Source organism: Homo sapiens, chromosome 8, assembly GCF_000001405.40.
Source record: "Homo sapiens chromosome 8, GRCh38.p14 Primary Assembly".
NCBI classification, from domain to species: domain Eukaryota; kingdom Metazoa; phylum Chordata; class Mammalia; order Primates; family Hominidae; genus Homo; species Homo sapiens.
The window spans coordinates 93374073-93396072 of NC_000008.11; the positions used below are offsets into that span (position 1 = coordinate 93374073).

The window sequence follows — 22000 nt, forward strand, 5'->3', positions numbered from 1 at the left end:
CTGAGTAGCTTAGAAACAACAGAAATTTATTTCTTACAGTTCTGGAGCCTGGAAGTCCACACTCAGACTGCCAGCATGGTCAGGTTCTGCGCGGTCCCCTTCCAGGTTGCAGACTGTTGACTTCTTCCTCTGTCCTCACATGGCAGAAGGGCTGAGGGGTCTCTCTAGGGCCTCTTTTATAAGGGCAGCAATCCCAAAGAATCCCCTCCCAAAGGCCCCACTTCCTATATATATCATCACCTTGTGAGTTGAGATTTCAACATACGAGTTTTGAGGGGACACAAATGCTTAGATCATGGCAGTGAGAATTTAAAGAGGATTTTAGATTTGGAAGTAAGGGGGTTATTGTGGTCTTGCCCAGAGAAGTTTCAGTGGAGTGACAGAGACGAAAGCCAGGTTGCAGGGGATGGGGACTATAGAGGCCATGAGGAAACTGACAGTGCAGTTGAGTTTTCAAGAATTATGGTAGCAAGGTGGAAAAGAAAGACTAACAGCACCCAGGAAAACAGAATAGAAATCTGCTGATTTGAAGATGGCAAAGCCAAGGAAGTGGGAGAGATTGAAAATATAGGTACAAGAGAGCAAGGTTCTAAAAGAGACAGAGGGGATGAGACTCTGGGCAAAGTGTGCATGTCATGTTTGGTCTTTTCTTCATATATGCATGGGCCACATGTATTTCCTCTGATGAGAAATGCTTGTTCATGCTTTTACCTACTTTTGTGTTGGGTTATTTGTCCCTTCTTAATCATCATAACAATATTAACTCAAAAGGCCTAAGACACCTTTTCCTTAAGAAGGAAGGAATAAAGATGGGAAAAAAATAGCAAAACATTGGAGCAGAAGGACAGGAATCAGAATAAATTCATCTCTATTTTTCTGTGAAGTGCTAGGCAAGGCTTGAGGAATAGGTAGCTTAATGAGAATACCAAAATGTTTTAACTGCTCTAGGGCATTGAAAAATTGAGTCACTCAGAGAGGAGTTAAAGACTTGCTAAGCATCCAGTCTGAATTAGACAACAATTGGAAAAATTATGTCATTTCCTCCACAGACCTCAGTGAAGAAGAGAGGTGACCAATTCCAGACACTCAGTAGGTGCTCAGTCAATGCTTATTGAATGAATAAATGAATGAATGATTCTGAAGATTTGTGACAGGTGTGTACCTACTGTGTTAACTCCACAAATTCTGTCTCCAGGCCGATGCTCAGAGTGTTTCCTCAATTCAGTGTGCCCACTCCTCACCCTCTCTCCAAGTTGCTGCCGTTCCAAAATATGGATAGAGCTGGTCCTTTCCTTCTCCCAAGGGGTACCAACTTAAGACCAAAATGGGGCAATACCAGTGAGCCAGCTTAACTGAAGACTTGACCATAACATAGAGGAATTGCAATTTGGAGAAGACACAGCTAAAACTGTGTGATCAACTGACTGGCTGTCAGATGATCACTGAAGACCACATCCATGCCCCTCCCGGGTGTCACCACCTGGCACTCTGTTTTTACCCCTAGTTGGCCCCAGTGATACTGGAAGGTCAGAACATTCCCCTTCTCCCATCTCCTCACCAGGCCCATCTTACTGGCTCTGCAGGCTACATAGAGCAAACAAGCAAACACAGAAACAAAAAGGAAACATTATAACAATCTCCCTTGTCTCAAAGAAGACATTCATACTTTATTATAAAGAGCAGCTTTGCTCCTCTTTTCCCAGACCCTACTCTCCAGAATATGCCTGGCCTTTGAAATAATCAAAAGCTCAATAAGTTGCTTTCCCCAAAAAAGAGAAATACTGCCTTTTCTAATGCTGCTTTCAGTTGCCAACCTTAGATTATGGAGAGCAAACAGCTCTGCAAAAAGACAATTTTTATTTTCATCCCTGCCAGAAGTGCTATTGAGGATGAGGGATGAGAAGGAGTTTGCCAGAAGAAAAGGGCATTATAAGGAAATGCCCACAGGCATTGAAAGGGCCCAGTGTGTTCTGGGAAGAGTGAGTTTAGTTTGCCTGGAATTTCATGGCCATAGAACTAAAGTGTTGGGAGATGAGATGGAAAAGCAAGGTAAGGCCAGTGTTTAAAGGGCCTGCTAATGCCACAATCACACTCTAAGAGTCTAGCTTTAGGCAACAGCAGAGTTTGCAATTGGCAAGGCAGTTGGATTTGGTTTTCTATAGTTCATCTAGTAACAGTAAGGAGGATAAACTAGAATAGAGAGTGGTGAGAAATGATGAAGGCTAGGGCAGTAGGGAAGAAACAAAGACAATAAAACTTGTGTGGCTTCTGTGGGCAAACTTTCCCTAACTTGAATGCACTCCTTTTTATCTGCATCTGTGATTCTCAAATCTAGTTTAGAAACTTTCCTGGGGAGTTTGTTAAAAATGCATTTCGTAGGGCCCTCCCTAGAGATTCTGATTCAGTAAGGCATGGAGAGGGAGTTGCAGGAATCAGCATTTTAAACAAGCACCCAAAGGGAGATGAGTTTCACATAAAAAACAAGTTCAGACATTCTGGTCCAAAATCCACGTTACCCAAATCCTACCCTTCTTCCAAGAACCTCTGTGGTTTTCCATAAAGCCTTTGCCCACAACTCTAGTCTCTATCAGCCTCATCCAGAACTCGATCCCCAGGTGCTCACTGTTTTGAGTGCTTCAACTTGGACTTTAACATCTAGATCTTGTGAGAACGCAGATTGCATTGCTAGCAAACTCCCAGGTGATGCTGATGTTGCTGGTCCACATTTCACACTTTGAGGACTAGGGTATCTAGATCATACATGTTGGAACTACATTACCATGTCAGTCATTTGGTTGTTTAATGTGAGTCCTGCCTCCCAACTTTACTGTAAATTCCCAAACAGACATCAAGTTTCGAACGCCTTTGAGAACTCTTCACACCACCAAGGACTGGATATACAGCAGGTGCTTTACAAATACAAGCTGAATTGAATAATTCAAAGTAAAAAAACCATGAACTAGATTGCCCCCCGATGGGAATAAAGAATCAATGGAGAATCCAGCTTTAATTATTTGTTATTATTGTTCCTAACAGGCACTTCCAGAAAGCCACAGAGAATAGCAAACATATACATATACTCAGTGGGGCATTTGAGACCAATATTCTTAGATGTCTACATTAAAAACACAATATTCACAAAGTGCAGCTTCAATGACTTAGAAGGGAGATGTGTTTTTCTATAAATTTCTGAAGCGTCTTTTCAAAAGGTCCATCAGTTGTATAATTGCATTCTCTAATTCCTAGGCCCACCATAGTGTAGACAATTACTGGGTTCAGTGACATGCAGATCAGGTCCCAATCTCAGAATAAGATTTTTTATCTTTTCCTTTGAGTCAGGGAATTGCAGAGACTCAAATGGGAATCCCAGACTTTCATGGTTGGCTATGTACTGATTAAGTGATACACTTGCCTGAATCTGCTTTATGCTGCCAAGTTTTTAATATTTTTATTCAGACACATATATAGGATAAAATAGCAGCATCAATATTAAGTAAATTTGGTAAAACTTAATAAAGCCAAAGCAACAAAGATCCAGAACTTTATAAGCAAGAAAGTATGAGAGATAACTTCTTGACAAGAAGGAAAATGTATTAAAAAATACATACAGACAAATAAGAGAAGACTTATTTTCACCATCTGAGTACCCTTTCATCCAGTCCAAACACCAGACTCAGAACAAAGAACAGGAACATGATTTATTGCCCCAAATAATATCCTAAAACCATAGAGCATGCAGCATCCACCAAGGCCATTTGAGTACTTTACCTTATATCAAACCAGTCCCTTCCTTGGGTCCCCTTTTAATAAAACATCATAGGCATCAAAAGAGAAAACTTTAATAAAATAGATGCTTCAGCCCCTGAAGATCATTATGTTAAAATTCTGCATATGAGAAGAGCTAGATTTTATTTTAAAAGAAAGTTTTTATTCCTATCTCTAAAAGAAAACAACTCAAGTCTCTAGAAAACTATACCAGACATTATATAACAAATTGTTATTTAGGCAAGATATTTTAAACCATTGTCACTAGTGAAAGGATGATGTAATTTGAGCAACTGTTTATGGAACGTTGTGAGAAAATTAAGCCATTATTATATCATAAAATACCTTGTTTCATAATATCAATTTTGCTATTAGGATTTGAAGCAAGAGTTTTCTTAGGGACATGTGTTTTTACATCACATTAAGGTCATTTGTACGCATTATAATATAACCATAACTGTGATAATTATTCTTTTGTGCAAAAATTTCAAGTAATCCTTCCAGTAGAACATTAAAAGATTATAATGTATTTGTGTGATTATGTGTGAGTGTGTGTGAGAGAGACTAATTTGCTAACAATTCTAGGTCTATTAGGTCAGCCTGAGAATCTTGGGGGTTAGTGATTTTTCATGAAAAGGCAACGTCTAGCACAGTGGGTAGGGAGTGGGGAAGTGGACAAAGCAAAGCTTAAATGAGCTAGAATCTTTTTCCTACTTTTTATGTTAGAAGTCAGGATGGATGGCATTATAACCAATATACATCTATTATACCAAGAAAGAGGCTTAGTTTGGAAAAAGCAGTATGCATGTGCCATTTGTAGCTTTCCAAATACCTGGCTGCATTTCCATCAGCATTGCATGCACACAGCATGAGAGAGAATTGAGGGATGATCAACTACCATGTCTCTTGTAACGGCCCCATGCTTGTGCCCTGCTGAGGGGATAGAAAGCTGGTGAAAACAAACAAACAAACAAACAAACAAACAAACAAAGTCTTTTCATCCATACTCTTAGCAAATTCTAAAGTATTCAAAGCTAAACTGATTAGAAGGATAGAAATAGATCTTTCAAGAAAGTCCTCTTTTTCTAACCAAAGGTGCAGGGAATGCGTAGACAAAGGCACATCTCTAAAGTTATCATTTTTTCCGCCTAATCCAGAAAGCTTGAAATTTTAATATAACCAATACTTTAATAGATAAATGGTAGCTATAGAGAGACATTTGGAACAGGGATTGGTTAGAGAAAAGAGGACTTTCTTGAAAGATCTATTTATATGCCTCTAATCAGTTGAGTAAATTTAGTCACATACATTGCAAAACAGAAGCCAATCTTGTGTATGGCACTTCGGATGAGTATGGTTTGCCCTGAATGGAATGTTTTTAGGGCATTAGAAGGCTCCCATCCATCCTAATCAACTTTGCGTAGAAATGATTCAATATCCAATGTTGGCTCCAATCAGTGCAAGTGTCAGTCACCGAGCAGAGTCTTGCCCACAGCCCTCTGTCCTCGTTTCCTCATGGCGGAATGCATGTGGTTCTTTCAGGACAAATTCCCTTTCGCCTGCATTCCCAGAGTGCCTACTCCTGACAGGCTTGCCCGCTATGGCACTGACCATATGGCTAGGCTCATCTGCACGCTCTCCCTTAATAATTCCCTCTCCCTCACTTTCCACCTCATTCTATTTTCACAGAGGGCATTTATTTACAGACTCTTCCCCCAAACTACACATCCTCACAAATGTATCCCTGATTCCAGCCACATGAGAGATGCCTTTAACTCACACACTCACTGAGGTATATCTTGCTGACCATGGCTGTGTGTTGCTTATTTCTGAAGGGAATTAATTTGAAACTTAGCTACATACTATTGCCTTTCATTCACAGCTCAAATTCCATTCCATTAATTCCTTATACTGTAGCATATAATTTGTTTCACACTCCTAATTGTCCAATGCTATCAATCTTGATTATGGCATATGTTATCATAAGTTGAGTCTTTCCCAAATATTTTGAAGAAATTTTAAATATCATTTTAAAACTTTTCCTTTTACTTCATATTTACCCTAAGAGAAATAGAGTCATGTACCACATGATGATGTTTCAGCCAAAAATGGACCACACATACACAGTGGTCCCATTAAGATTATAAGGGAGCTGAAAAATTCCTGTCACCTAGTGACATCATAGCCATATTACCATAATAGCGAAATGCATTACTTACATGTTGGTGGTGATACTGATGTAAACAAATCTACTGCACTGCCAGTCATATAAAATTATAACACACAAATTATATATGGCATGTAATACTTCAAATTATAATTGAAAACTATGTTACTGGTTTATGTATTTGCTATAATTTTTATCATTATTTTAAAGTGTGTTCCAACTTATAGAAAAAACATTAATTGTAAAACAGCCTCAGGCAGGTCCTTCAGGAGGGATTCCAGAAAAAGGCATTGTTATCACAGGAGATGGCAGCTCCATGCATGTTATTGCCCCCGAAGACCTTCCACTGGGACAAGATACAGAGGGGGAAGACAGGGACATTGATGATCCTATGTTTGTGTGTTAGTTTTTAACAAAAAAGTTTAAATTAAAATGTAAAAACATACGTAAAAGTAGGAAAAATAGAAAAAGCTCATAAGAATACAAAGAATGAAAATATTATTTACAGCTGTACACATGTTTATGTTATAAGCTAAGTGTTATAACAAAAAAGTCAAAAAGTTTTTAAAAGTTTATAAAGTAAAAAATTACAGTAAGCTATGATTAAATTACTATTAAAGAAAAAAATTTTTTTATAAATTTAGTGTAGGCTGTATTAGTCCATTATCATGCTGCTGATAAAGACATACCTGAGACTGGGAAGAAAAAGAGGTTTAATCGGACTTATAGTTCCACATGGCTGAGGAGGCCTCAGAATCATGGTGGGAGGCAAAAAGCACTTCTTATGTGGTGGTGGCAAGAGAAAATGAGAAAGATGCAAAGCGGAAACCCCTGATAAAACCATCAGATCTCATGAGACTTATTCACTACAAAAATAGTATGGGGACACTGCCCCCATGATTCAAATTATCTCCCACCAAGTCCCTCTGACAATGTGTGGGAATCATGGGAGTACAATTCAAGATGAGACTTGGGTGGGGACAGAGCCAAACCATATCATTCTGCCCCTGGCCCCTCCAAATCTCATGTCTTCACATTTCAAAACCAATGATAACCAATCATGCCTTCCCAATAGTCCTCCAAAGTCTTAATTCATTTCAGTATTAACCCAAAAGTCCACAGTCCAAAGTCTCATCTGAGACAAGGCAAGTCCCTTCCACCTATGAGCCTGTAAAATCAAAAGTAAGCTAGTTACTCCTAGATACAATGGGGTACAGGTATTGAGTAAATATAGCTGTTCAAAATGGGAGAAATTGGCCAAAACAAGGGGTTATAGGACCCATGCAAATCCAAAAATCCAGCAAGGCCGTCAAAATCTTAAAGTTCCAAAATGATCTCCTTTGACTCCAGGTCATGCTGATGCAAGAGGTGGGTTCCTATGGTCTTGGGCAGCTCTGCCCCTGTGGCTTTGCAGGGTACAGCCCCCCTCTTGGCAGCTTTCATTGGCTGGCATTGAATGTCTGTAGCTTTTCCAGGTGCACAGTGCAAGCTGTCAATGGATCTACCATTCTGGGGTCTGGAGGATGGTGGCCCTCTTCTCCCAGCTCCACTAGGTGGTGCCCCAGTAGGGACTCTGTGTGAGGGCTCCAACCCCACATTTCCCTTCTGCACTGCCCTAGCAGAGGTTTTCTATGAGAGCCCTGTCCCTGAAGTAAACTTCTGCATGGACATCCAGGCATTTCCATACATCCTCTGAAATCTACACAGAGGTTCCCAAACCTCAGTTCTAGACTTCTGTGCACTGGCAGGCTCAACACCATGTGGAAGCTGCCAAGGCTTGGGGCTTCCACCCTCTGAAGCCATAGCTGGAGCTGTACCTTGGTCCCTTTTAGTCATGGCTGGAGTAGCTGGGATGCAGGGCACCAGGCACAGGGACCCCGGGCCTGACCCACAAAATCATTTTTTCTTCCTAAGCCTCTAGGCCTGTGATGGGAGGGGCTGCCGTGAAGACCTCTGACATGCCTTGGAGACATTTTCCCCATTGTCTTGGGGATTAACATTTGGCTCCTCGTTACTTATGCAAATTTCTGCAGCTGGCTTGAATTTCTCCTCAGAAAATGGGATTTTCTTTTCCACTGCACTGTCAAGCTGCAAATTTTCCAAACTTTTATGTTTTGTTTCCCTTTTGAAACTGAATGCCTTTAACAGCACCCAAGTCACATCTTGAATGCTTTGACGCTTAGAAATTTCTTCTGCCAGATACCCTAAATCATCTCTCTCAAGTACAAAGTTCCACAAATCTCTAAGGCAGGGGAAAAATGCCACCAGTCTCTTTGCTAAAACATGACAAGAGTCACCTTTACTCCAGTTCCCAACAAGTTCCTCATCTCCATCTGAGACCACCTCAGCCTGGACCTTACTGTCAATATCACTATCAGTATTTTGGGCAAAGCCATTCAACAAGTTTCTAAGAGGTTCCAAACTTTCCCACATTTTCTGGTCTTCTTCTGAGCCCTCCAATTGTTCCAGCCTCTGCCTGTTACCCAGTTCCAAAGTCACTTCTACATTTTTGGGTATCTTTTCAGCAGTGCCCACTCTACTGGTACCAATTTACTGTATCAGTCCGTTTTTACACTGCTGATAAAGACATACATGAGACTGGGAAGAAAAAGAGGTTTAATTGAACTTACACTTCCACATGGCTAGGGAGGCCTCAGAATCATGGTGGGAGGCGAAAGGCACTTCTTATGTGGTGGTGGCAAACGAAAATAAGGAAGATGCAAAAGCAGAAACCCCTGATAGAACCATCAGATCTTGTGAGACTTATTCACTACCACGAAAACAGTATGGGGGAAACTGCCCCCATGATTCAAATTATCTCCTGCCAGTTTCCTCTGACAACATGTGGGAATTATGAGAGTACAATTCAACATGAAACTTGGGTGGGGACACAGAGCCAAAACATATCATAGCCTAAGTGTACCATGTTTATAAAGTCTGCAGGAATGTACAGTAATGTCCTAGAACTTCATGTTCACACACCACTCACTCATTGACTCATCCAGAGCAACTTCCAGTCCTGTAAGCTCCATTCATGATAAGAGCCCTGTAGAGAGGTACCGTTTTTTGTAAACTTTTATAATGCAATTTTACTGTACCTTTTCTATGTTTAGATATATTTAAATACATAAACACTTACCATTGTGTTATAATTGCCTACAGTGTTCAGTACAGTAACATGCTGTAGAGGTTTGTAACCTAAGAGCCATAGCGTATACCATCTAGCCTAGGCACATAGGCTATACCATCTAGCTTTGTGTAAGTTCAGTCTGTGACATTTGCATAATGATGAAATCACCTAAAAATTTATGTCTCAGAACATATCTCAGAACATAACCCTGTCATTAAGTGATACATGACTATATAAACATTCATTACAGTAATTGAGAAATTGTAAGCCTATAAAAGGCTTCAGGAAGTCCTGTAATAAAGCAATCTAGCATTGTTTACCACCCAAGGCTTCCCAAACTTATTTTTCCCTAGTTTTATTTTTCATCCAATACCTATTAAGATGTACACTGTTCTAGACTACCAATCCCTCAATGAAAAGCAAATGTAACTGCTTTCAAAAACTTGGCTAATGGAAGAAAATCTTCTTACATTCTGCTGGGCTCTTAGCTCATTGCTTCCAGGAAGATCTGTTCCAGTTCCAGGAACCAAATGACCAGTCCACAGAGCCAGAATGAAATAAGTACCAGCTGGAGAAACCAAACCCCAGGAGCCTCTGCTTCATTCTCTGAACTTTCACTTTTGGAAAGGCAAAGTGTGACTCAAATCACAGCAAAGATGATATACATGGGTCATGGTAACATGTATCGCCAGGAGAAGACAAAGACAATCAGCTCTCCACTCATATTCCTTGCATGTTCCATTTCCTGCATCTTCTCAATGGGAGTTCAAGTATTCAGGTCATATCATAATGATCCATGAAGAGTCACCAAAACACATTACTGAAGTAATAAGTGAATCTGCTGTTTGAGAAGAGACTGTCCTTTGGTCACTGTCCTTTTACCCAATGGCTTGTTTCAGGTCCTAAAGCATGCCAAGTTCTTTCCTGCCTCAGAAACTTCTTACATACCATTGCCTCAGCCAAGAATAGTTTTCTTTGTGCTTTGAGTTCCTGGTTTCTTCCAGCTTAGATGTCAGCCCCATTGAGAGACTTTCCTCAACCATCCAACATTCTCTTATTATTCCCCGTGCTCTGCTCTTTTCTTTTGTGATACTTATCTCAAGTTATAATTCCCTGCTGATTTTTTTTCTGTGTTTATTGTCTATCTGCTCCTTTAGACTCCAAGCCCCACAGGACAAGAACCACATGTGTCTCACATCCACCACTATATACCCTGCCAAGCACAATACCTGGCACAAGGCAGTGGTCTTACATCCTTTGGACTGCTATAACAAAATGCCTTAGACTGGCTAATGTGTAAATAATGGAAATTTATTGCTTATAGTTCTAGAGGCTGGGAAGCCCCAGATCAAGGTGCCGGCAGATTTGGTGTCTTCAGAAGGCTTGCTCTCTGCTTCAAAGATGGCGCCTTCTTGCTGCATCCTCATATGGTGAGAGGTGCAAACAGCTACCTCACACCTCTTCTATAAGGGCACTAATCCCATTCTTGAGGGTTCCATCCTCATGACCTAATCACTTTGTAAAGGCCTGGCCTCTTAATACTATCACATTGACAACTACGTTTCTATATATGAATTTTAGAGGGACAGATTTGGACTATAGCAGAGGTACTTTAAGGTGCTTTAAGAATAATAGGCCAGGCATGGTGGCTCACACATCCCAGCACTTTAGGAGGCTGAGGCAGGAGGATCACTTGCATCCAGGGTTCAAGTCTAGCCTGGGCAATATAGTGAGGCCCCGTCTCTACAAAAAAATAAAAAATTATCTGGGTATGGTGGAGTGTGCCTGTATTCCCTGCTACATGGGACACTGAGGCAGGAGGATTGCCTAAGCCCAGGAGGTGAAGGCTGCAGTGAGCCATGATCATGCTACTGCACTCAGCCTTGGCAACAGAATGAGACCCTGTCTCAAAAAATTAATAATAATAAGTAATAGTTAAACAAATAAATGAAAAATTTGACTCTTTGGAAAGAGTAGGAGTGCTGTTTCTCAAGCTTGCTTTAACCTCTCAGAGCCTCCCTAAAATCACTGATTCATCAGAGGAGCCCCTCTTCTGCTAAACCCAGGTGGACCCTTCCAGAGTCATAATCTCTAGGCCACCCCACATCAAGTAGCATAATTAATTGGGGGCTTTGCAGCCAGCTTGCCATGTTGGTGCTCATTACACAATGAGTGCTCGCTAAATACACAGGCTGAGAATTATCAGCGGTCTAATTTTTTTTTTATTCAGAAATGTTCCATGTCATCCCATGCCACTTCCTCGTGTACAAGTCATTTAGCTCTAATTCATGTAGCACACAGTCTGTTGTGTGAAAGCAAGAAGAAGCAGAATACATTGAGCTCCTTTTCTGTGGAAGGCATCAGGGTGGTGGACTTGTCAATGTTGTCTCATTTAATTCTCAATTATGAGATGGGTAATATCCAATTTAAGGATGGGAAACTGAGGCTCAGCCAGAGAAAAGTAACTTGCCCATGTGTCCACCAACAGGAGGCACTTGTGTTTTTTCTGCTACTCCATAGTGTGTGAAACAGAATGGACAAGGGCCCGTCAATGACTTCGTGAGAGAACTAACAAAGTCATCAGTTAGGCTCAATTTGGGGGAACGATATCTGGAAGGTTAATAAAGCAAAGTCTTTTTGACCAGATACAGCTCAGGCTTGATAAGTCGCATTTCCATGATTTTGAGATATATATTTTTTTTAGTTTTACAGAGGCAGGTGGATCACCTGAGGTCAAGAATTCAAGACCAGCCTGGACAACACGGTGAAACCCCGTGTCTATTAAAAATACAAAAAAAATTAGCTGGGCATGGTGTTGGGTGCCTCTAATCCCAGCTACTCAGGAGGCTGAGGCAGGAGAATCATTTGAACCTGGGAGGCAGAGGTTGTAGTGAGCGGAGATCGCACCACTGTACTCCAGCCTGGGCGACAGAGCGAAACTCAGTCTCAAAAACAAAAAACAAAACAAAACAAAACAAAATGCCTTACAAGTTGGTTCATTGAGCTAGTGTATCTTTTTCTCACTAAAAGTTACTATTTTGATAATGGTACTATTAAGCATGACTTGGAATCAAAGAGGCATGGTTTAGCAGAGCCTGTGATGGTGCTAGTAAAAGAAACCCACATATTTTTCCATCTGCTCCTAATAATATTTAAAATATGATTTTACCAGTTACTCACATTACTCACATTAGTCCTTATTTTATAAATTGTGAGACTGACACTCAAAGAGGTTAATTAACAAGCCCAAAGTCACACAGCTATTAACAGTCAAAGCTAGAATTCAAACCCAGGTCCACTGAGCCCCTAAGATCACATTCTTAGTCACAACAATTTCTTGGTTCCCATTCTAGCATTATAGTGTATGAGGCTTTCCACATTTACAGCAGGACACAGGACGATGGTGGTTAAGTTTTCCTCTAACACGCTATCCATAGCTTGATCAGCACTGTGACACAAAGAAAATAAAACACATAGAGATCGCATGCCTTCCACCACAGTGCAGCTGCTCTCTAGCCAGCAATGCCGGGGTTGCTGGCATTACCAGCATTACCAGTTCACAAAACACCAGCAAACACCAGATAATGTGATATTAGAGTCCCACAAGGACACAAGACCAACTACTGCTTTGGTCTTCCCCAGTGTCTAGCCTACCATGACTGCTAATGGCAATACAGGAAGCAGCTAGAAACTCCGCCAGTTTCTCTACTTATTAGTGTCAGAGTCAGCAGGGCAACAAAGCTCCATCATTGCTCACGCACAAATTTACCAGGGGAGGCACATGTGCTGCTATTTTTCACCTTTCACATAGGAGTCCCTATAGACATACTTGATACTCATTTCACTGTTCACAAATCTTCCACCTGAGATTGCCTGAAGTGCCCTGGAGCTACTACTGATCCCTCTTCCCTACAGATAGGAGGCAAGAAAAGTGGTGATTAAGAAGGTGGGCATTTGAGTTGGACTGCTGGCTTGGAACCCTGGTTCTGCTACGTGCCAGCTGGGCAATGTGAGCATCACTAATGCTGTTAGTTCCTCAGTTTCCTCATCTATAAAATGTTGGTTAATATTGGGTCTGACCCAATATTAACATTATTACAGTTATCATATTGTCATGAGGCTATTAGGAGGAACTAATGAAATGTGATGTGCCTATACAATACCAGGCATAAAGCAATGTTAGACATTATAGGTAGATAAATATTCAAGTGAACTATCTAGCAAATACCATGTTTAGTATATTCTCCATTCATATGTTGCCCTTACAAAATCCTAAATTATAATAACCCTTATAATATATACTTTGTATATGTGTATATATATAAAACCCTTATAATAAGTGAATACCAAGATGATTGGCAAAGGCACTCATCCTGAGAGCCAGGACATAACAGAAATTGTCCTACTCAGGACTGGATCAAACTGGGGAGCCTCTTCTCTGTCTAAGGAGCTAGCTGTTACTCAGCACCATCTGATTATTATTCAGAAAAATACAGGTCTACTGTTGCCAGAATTTTCTATATTTCAAGAAAATCAGAAATATAGATTTTCATATGAAACCTTCCAACCTATGGATATTAGCAGTAAAACTCAAACTATTTTCAAGGCCAAAGACCAAGTAATGTCTGCATGCTTCTGGTTTGCAAGTCCCACACATGACCCAGCAACTTCAGATCTGGCAGTAAGTTTTAATTAACTCTGAATGTTGACCTCTTTATTCAGAAAGACTCTGCTTTTGGTCCTCTTTACTTCTATTATTCCTTAATCCCCTGTTGATTTACACATTTCTTCTGCAGCCCAGAACAATCGAGAAAGATTTTGAATTTGGGAGTTTCTCATTTTTTCCTCTAACAAAACTGAAGTCAAGAGCAGCTTGCCCAAAGGAATTTCAGATGCTTAATTGACTACAGAGCTCATCAGAGTATGCTAATGTTATCAAGACGTGATCATACCCCTCATGAAACTACTTCAGATTTAGTCTAAGAAAAAAACACTGAATTTTCCTTCTTTTCTTCAAATCACCAAGAAGGTATGAAACTTACAAGGAGCTTCCCTAAGATGAAAGTGTAGCATCATCTCTGGAATGAAAGTGGAAGAAGAAAATGGAGGGATAGGCATGCAGTTTGAGCTCCTTACAGATGAAGTCTTTACAGGATGCTTTCTCTAAATGGTGGAACTATTAAACATCTTCACGTGAACCAATATGAGTATCAAACAGATTCTAAATCTAAAAGTAAATTATTATTAATCCATGTGTTGAATTAATTATGCTGTTGCTCTTTTCATTAGCAGTGATTTTTGATCTTCCAAGGTATGGCTCGCTTTCAAGTTTACTACCACCATCCGCTCTATTTAAGAGCCTGTTTTGTTGACATCTGGGAAAGTCGCTATCAACAGCCGATGATCTGCTTAATTACACCTGTGTTGACTTCTCAACTCTCTCTATTTATCCCATTGTATGGGTAAACCATTTGAAACATAAACACTTCATCAGTTCTTGGCCAGATGAAGAGTAAAAAAAGAGAGGGTGAGCGAATCATCCATCATCTCAAGAGAAGCTGGAGTGGGACGCTGAATTCAGACCCAGATTCAAATCTCTCTCTATAGATGTATAACTTGTGCAAAGGGAATAATAATTGTACTTATCTAGTAGGGAGGTTGACAGGATAACATTATCTAATGTTCAAAAAAACATCAGCAGTATTAGGGTAGTATTAAATCACATATGTACATATCAATTATTGAGGGTTTCCTATGTGGCCAATCAGCATGTGAAACACTTTACACGTGTAAATCACTTAATCCTCACAACAAACCTGAGTTTAAGGATTACTGATTTCTACTTAAGGAAAAAACAAGACTTGGAGAAGTTTCTACTTTAATCAGGGGAAGCCAAGACTCAGCAAATTAATTTGCCTGAGATTACACAGCTAATAAGTAGGAAGAGTGGTATTTGAAATCCAGCTAACTGACTCCAGAGCCCACACATCTTTGCACAGCAAGGGCATTCAATGAAGGGCATGACTGACAGAAAGACATCATTTTAGCTGGGAGAGGGTACAGAAGAAGCAGTTTTCAATATTGAACCATGCAACAAGATGAAATTGAAAGACTCCGCACCAAGGTGGAAGGCAGGGAGTGAGAAATCAGAGCACAATGGGCAAATAGATGCACAGGGATGTGGCCGCACAGGGGCATGGCATCCAAGGCAGGGATAAATCCACGGAGCTGGAGTGGGAGAAATGCGGGAAGGCTTGCCCCAGGGTGGGCGTGAATTCTGGAGTGGCACTGAAAAGCTGGAGGACAGTTATGTGGTCTGTTCTCCAACATAATATAGGTCTGGAGTCTGGGTGTCCCTGGGAATAATTTGGAAGGTGTCCCAGTGTCTTTTTTTTTTTTTTTTTTTGCCTCCTTGCAGATTAATTTCTTCAGTCAGGGTATGGGCCCTGCACTGTTTCTGCCACACCCAAACTGAAAACCAATCTCTGACACGGGGAATATCTTAAGTCCCTCAAATACTTGCAAACACTTTAAACATGGCATGCTTCTTGCATGTGGGAAAATTCCCTAGTTGAAGGGTAAAGAATAATTGTTAACAATTATTTTTTAAATTCTTCCCTTTCACAGAAAGGAAAACTGTCCCAGATCCTATTCTTTAAAAAAAGAAAGAAAGAAAAAGAAGACTAAGTATAAAATTGTGTTTCAAAACCCCTGATTTACCTCTTTTAACACTTGAGTTAAGCAGGAGGCTGCAGGAGACCATGTTATTACTAAATTATGTTTTTATTTTCCTTTGATGTGCCTGATGCGGCTTGCTTGCACATATTGGGGTATTTAGTAAATGAACCCTGGGCCCTAGTTATTTATTTATTTACCAATTTCCCTGGCATTATCAAAAGCAAGGAGCAGCTGTGATTTCCCCCAGTTCAAGCATGCAGCTGAATGTTTAAAAGACCTGCCTTTGCCCAGGCTCCTGCATACTGAAGAATAACATTCACTAATGCATGAAAACTGGAGAAAGGATATCAGAGCAAAACCTGGGCTTCCAGCTGTGGGAGGGTATGTTCTCCAAAACCTTTGAGCTTTTAATAGACTTTTACTGATAAGCACACAGAAAGGCAGCTGGTTGTGGTCTTTGGAGCCTTGGAGCCCCAAGACTGTCTCTTCAGTAAGTCAGAAGGAAGAACAAAAATGGATTCCCACCTCCCCACCATCTCACTGACCTCTTAGGTCTGTGCCTTCTGATTCAGATGATGCTACCCGAAATGAGCTTCCAGGAATTGGCCCGAGCCTGATAGCCAGTAGGGAGGCCTTATGGGCAGGCAGATTGTTAAAATATAAACATATTCATCCCATGACTCATCCCAGGGGAGTCAACCTCTTCCCTGAGCCTCACAAGTACCTGCATGTTGCTCCACTCCTTTTCCCAGACCACCTGGAGTCCTCCGCAATCCAGCAATGAATGGGCTAGAACCTGGTCCTCTGGCACCCTGCATAGGGAGATGGCTGATACTTCTGGATTGGTTGGTGTCTGTGCCATTGAGATTTTAAAATACTTTTATTATTACCTGTTCGTTGATCTCATTTAGTACTACTTGCAGGATTCCAAGACAAATGGGTCTTTTCTCAGATCCCTCTCTATAGCAAACAATTAGAGAAAGATTCCTGTGTGTTTAAGGTTTCCTCGTTTTATTAGTTATCTAATAAATTATACATATGTATAACACACATACAAACTGTAGCTGTATAACAAAATGCTCCAAAATATAATGGCCTATAGCAACACATACCATCTCACAGTTTTTGCAGGCCAGAAATCTGAGCATGGCTGAGTTAGATGCTCTCATTCAGGGTCTCTTACAACATAGTTGAGATGTCAGGTGGGTCTGTACTCATCGCAAGGCTCAAGTGGAAAAGGGTCTGCTTCTGAGCTCACCTTGCTGGCAGGATTCAGTTTGTCATAAGCCTCTGGTCAGAGGTGCTCAGCTCTTCCCTGGCTGTGGACCAGAGACCACCCAGACCATCTGTTGGCCAGAGTTCCTTGCCCACATGGGTCTCTCCATAGGGCAGCTGACAACATGGCATCCGGCTTCATCAGAGCAGGGTGTGGAGGGAACAGAGGTCACAGTCTTTTATAATTTGATCTTAGAATGGATATCCTATCGCTTGCACCATATTCTATTCATTAGTAGCTAGTCTCCAGTTTCAACCCACACACAAGGAGACTGCATAAGGGAATAAATACCAGGAGGCAGTGATCGCTGGGAGCCATTTTAGAAGCAACCTAACCCATCTGTCGATGTAAAAACCTGTCGATTGTTGAAGGTCAAGTGCCGACCTTCCTACTTACTAGCTGTGCAATCTTAGGCAAATTACCTAACTTTGCTAAGCCTCCACTCCCCATGGTTAACATGGAAAGTTCTCCAAGCATCAGTCTTCTTTGCCTTAATCCCTAATTAGTAATCCCTAACTATGGAAACTTGTTCTCCCCTACTACCATGTCCCAAGAACATGTGAAAGAAAAGTCCTTGCATAAGACTTTCAGTTTGGTGATACAAGTTTGCCAGGCAGTCATTCCTGGCAACACATATTTTTAAAAGGGCCCTCTTTCTGTCTCAAATATATGCTGAAGGATAATATCTCTGCACTGGGATGCAGAACCAGTGAAAACCCAGCAGAATGGATATCCACTAAATCTGGGTCTTGCTGGCAAACTGGTGGCTCCTTGCAGCCTCATCAACTGTTCTGTGAAATCCCAGGCAGCCCATATTGGTAGCAGAATGCAAGGGAAATGGATGTCCATCAATGCTGAGAGGAAGGTGCACTGGGGCAGGGACTACATAAAATTCCAGCGCCCCCATTCCCAGCAGCCCCTGCAGAGAATTACGGCCAAGTTGAGGGGGAACAAAACGAAGTGGGAAAATGTAGGGATAGACGCTAATGCTCTATCTGTCTGAGCTGGGAATTGTAGAGCAGCCATTCTCTCCTTAACTCTACTGTCGTCTTAGAAGGACACAAACCCAGAAAGAATCCTGTAAGGCTCATTTAGTCCAGTCCCCCTCTAACTGACCACCCAGTAGGAAATAAATGGTTTATCGTCCATAATAAGGGCACCAAATAGTATCTTCTACAGATTACATAAAGCCTGAGAATGAAGCAGATCCTGGGTACAATAGCGAAAAAGCTTTTTAGTTTCATTCATCTGTCCTGACAATTGCCACTTTTCACCAGGCCAGGGACATGAGAGCATTGAGGCTCTTTGACTCAGAGCATTCAAGAAGCTGTCATCAGAGCTGGTAATGGGAAAACAATGGGCCACTTTTAAGAACATATTTATTTCTGCTGCAAAGAACTTCTCCCCTTTTATTTTCCATTACCATCACCCCTGTTTTCTCCCTCACTAGCAGCACCCGAGCACACATTATTCCCCACTTCGTGCACTGCCCCCTGCCATCCCAGGGAGTGAGAAATTGGAAATGAAACACAACACTATATGCAGATTGGTTTTAATCACCTGGAACAGATGGTGCAGAAAGTGTCAGGTAAATGCAATTTCAAATTTCCTTTGGATGTTTCTTAAAATGCAGAAACAACAAAGAAACTAAATGGACTGTCAAATGTCAGTGTCAGTTCTGGATTTGAACAGGCAGCCTTCACCATGTCTATACATAACCCTAATACTATCTAAATCTATTTCTCCACTTCCCTGTTAATTAACTAACATTTGATGGGCTAAATGAAAGCAAATATACCTAGAAACAAGGCAGACATGCCTTCCTCTTTGGCTGTGGGAGAATATAAGGGAGCCCAGTAAATGCAACTGAGCCCAGTAAATGCATCTGAGCCCAGCTCACCTGAGCTCTGCACTATAACAGGTAATTGCAATAAATCATCCTTTGGCCCATGATCCCAGCCTAGTGAAGATTAATGGCAGTAGACACTAAAGCTGCCAACTTGGAAGATTTCCGTGGTGGTAGAGAAGAGGCTATGTGTAAGGAATGTGTGATAAAATGCTATGCTGGGACCATAATAAACGGGCTGGAAGGGAGCCGAGGTCCTCCTCTGTAATGCAGAGACATTAAGACCTGTCTGATTGTGATGACAGACAGGTATTTGACCGAGCACACTGGCAGCTATAAAAAAAAAAATAGCTAAAAGCTAATGTCAAGATGTGATGTAGACCTGCCACCTGCCATCAGGAGTAATTATGGTCTGACCACTTGCTTGTAAGGAGGGCAGAGGAAACAATATTTTATCTGACTGCAAGGGATCGACTACATTTGATTTGCGCCCCTGATGGCATGACTGGCCCACTGTCACCCTCCATGATGAAGCAGCAGAGCCAGACATTGGCAACTGTCCTCACTGGAGGGGATTTGAGGGCTGGCTGACTTTCACACACTCCACTTAGGAGGAAGCCAGTGAAGGGAGAAAAATTTGGTCTGAAGAGATAACTGAATACTTTGTACTCAAAGAATAAAACAGCTTCAACACATAACTAGACATGTGGACATCATCACTCCAGGAGCCCCTTCAGAAATGTGGGTCCCAGGAAAGCAGAGAGACCTGCACTGCGCAGACCAAATACATTTCAGAAAGTGGTGAGCTTGTGGACATGGAAGTGAACCTTCCCACCTTCTTGGCAACATACTCTCAGGCATAGAAAGAGTGGTTGTCACCTCATGGGCTTTGAACCTTTGAGTGCTCTAGGAGAACCAAGAAAGGAGTTGAGAGCTCTGTTGGAAGAGACCCTGTATTTAATTACTAAGGAAGTTGCCACAAAGTGCCACAAACTGAGTGGCTTAAGCAACAGAAATTTATAATCTCTCAGTTTTGGAGGCTAGAAGTCTAAAATTGATGTGTCGGCATGGTCTGCTCTTTCTGAGGGCTGTGGGGGAGGATCTGTTTCCAGGCCTCTCTTTTTAGCTTGTAGACAGCCATCTTCAGGTTCACAAGGTCTTCTCCCTGTATGTGAGTCTATCCAAATTTCTCCCCCACCCTTTTTTTTTCTTTTTTTTTTAGACGGAGTTTCACTCTTGCCCTGGAGTACAATGCCGCAATCTCAGCTGACTGCAACCTCCACCTCCTGGGTTCAAGCGATTCTCCTGCCTCAGCCTCCCGAGAAGTTGGGATTACAGGTGCGCACCACCATGCCTGGCTAACTTTTGTGTTTTTAGTAGAGACAGGGTTTCACCATGTTGACCAGGCTGATCTTGAACTCCTAACCTCAGGTGATCCACCCACCTCGGCCTCCCAAAGTGCTAGGATTACAGGCATGAGCCACCACACCCAGCCTAAATTTCCCATTTTTATAAGGACACCAATCATATTGGACTAGAACCCACCCTCGTGACCTCATGTTAACTTGGTTATCTCTACAAGGACCCTATCTCCAGAAATGTCACATTCAGAGGCCCCAGGGATTAGAACTAGAACACCCAAACGTGGAGGGGAACACAATCCAACCCATAACGGGCCTCTAGAAGACTCCACCATGCCAAGTGTGCATAGGAATAATACGTTCTCCGAAGTCAGGAAGGAAATGTCCAGATACTGCAGCAGTGGAGGAAGGCCAGGTCAGTAGGATGTGGAATGAGGCAGAGATCACCAGGTATGTGAAGCAGGTGATAATTCCCACAGGTATAATGGTGCAGGTGAGGCCAGGTATGAGAGGGCACAAAACTCTGATGGAGCTCAAGGGAAAGTCGGCAACAGAATGAAGGGACTACCAGCTGGGAAGATTGACTTTGGGGTCCCAGACAGCATCAGTGGACAACCTGGAGCTAGGCTCAGAAATGACACATAAAGACACAGGAAATCTTTCTGATGGGGAGCAGAGCATGTAATGTCCTTTGGTCTGTCCCAGCTTAGCTCTTCTTTAGTTGACCCCTTAAAGCAGCAGTCAGTCTCCAACCTTTTTGGCACCAGGGACCGGTTTTGTGGATGACCAATTTTCCATGGACCGAGTGGTGGGGATGGTTTCGGGGTGAAACTGTTCCACTCAGATCATCAGGCATTAAATTCTCATGAGGAGCGCACAGCATAGATCCCTCACATGTTCAGTTCACAATAGGGTTCCCGCTCCTATGAGAATCTAATACCGCCGCAGGTCTGACAGGAGGCAGAGCTCAGGTGGCAATGCTCGCTGGCCACTCACCTCCTGCTGTGTGACTTAGTTCCTAACAAGCTATGGACAGGTACCAGTCTGCAGCCTGGGGCTGGGGACTTCTGTCATAAAAGACACAGGATTTGTTCCACAGGCCCTGATCCTGCACAGGGGCAGCAATTCCGCATCCATCCAGAGTGTTCAAGGTCAGCACCTCCGGCATTTTACCAGGAACATCTGATCCCCCATGAACTGGGTAGGAAGTTCCTTCAAAATCTTAGAGTTCACTTCATGGAGTTATATGTCCTCTGGGCTCCCTGGGCAGAGAACAGAAGACTGATACATGGATTCTTGACCAGATTTTGATAGTAGCGTTATTAATTAGAGGTGATAACACCATAGAAACATTTGCTACTCTTACCCAAGAGATAATCTAGAAACACTAAAGTGCTAGACAGGGAGAGAAGGAATGACTTTGGAATAAAATGAAAGAAAATACTATCACCTCATAGGGTTTATTCCCTTTCCATTTCTATTAACTATTAATAAATTTGAATAAAATATTAGATTTTCAGTTATTTTGTCTGAAATATTGTCCTGATAACTCACTAGGAAAATGAAGATATAACAGATCTTCACCTTCAAACTCTGTAACTATGACTTCTCAACAACTCTATGGTCCAGGTAAGAAAAATATGTCAAAGTGTTTTTCAGAAAATCAATGGTCCTGTTTTTTATTAACTCATAACTTTTTGAAATGTTCTTTATGTGGCTGGGTGTGGTGGCTTATGTCTGTAATCCCAACACTTTGGGAGGCTGAGGCGGGTGGATC

General features: G+C 41.7%; 1 long non-coding RNA gene across 1 annotated transcript in view; it reads right to left on the reverse strand.

The window, feature by feature from the left end:
* The window catches only part of CIBAR1-DT (CIBAR1 divergent transcript), a 353967-nt gene that overhangs the window by 27606 nt on the left and 304361 nt on the right, over positions 1-22000 (reverse strand). The window contains exons 8-9 of the long non-coding RNA NR_033858.1: positions 16999-17151; positions 16465-16593 (exon numbers count right to left, since the gene is read on the reverse strand). This is a non-coding gene — a long non-coding RNA (CIBAR1 divergent transcript). The remainder of the gene's footprint in view (positions 1-16464; positions 16594-16998; positions 17152-22000) is intronic.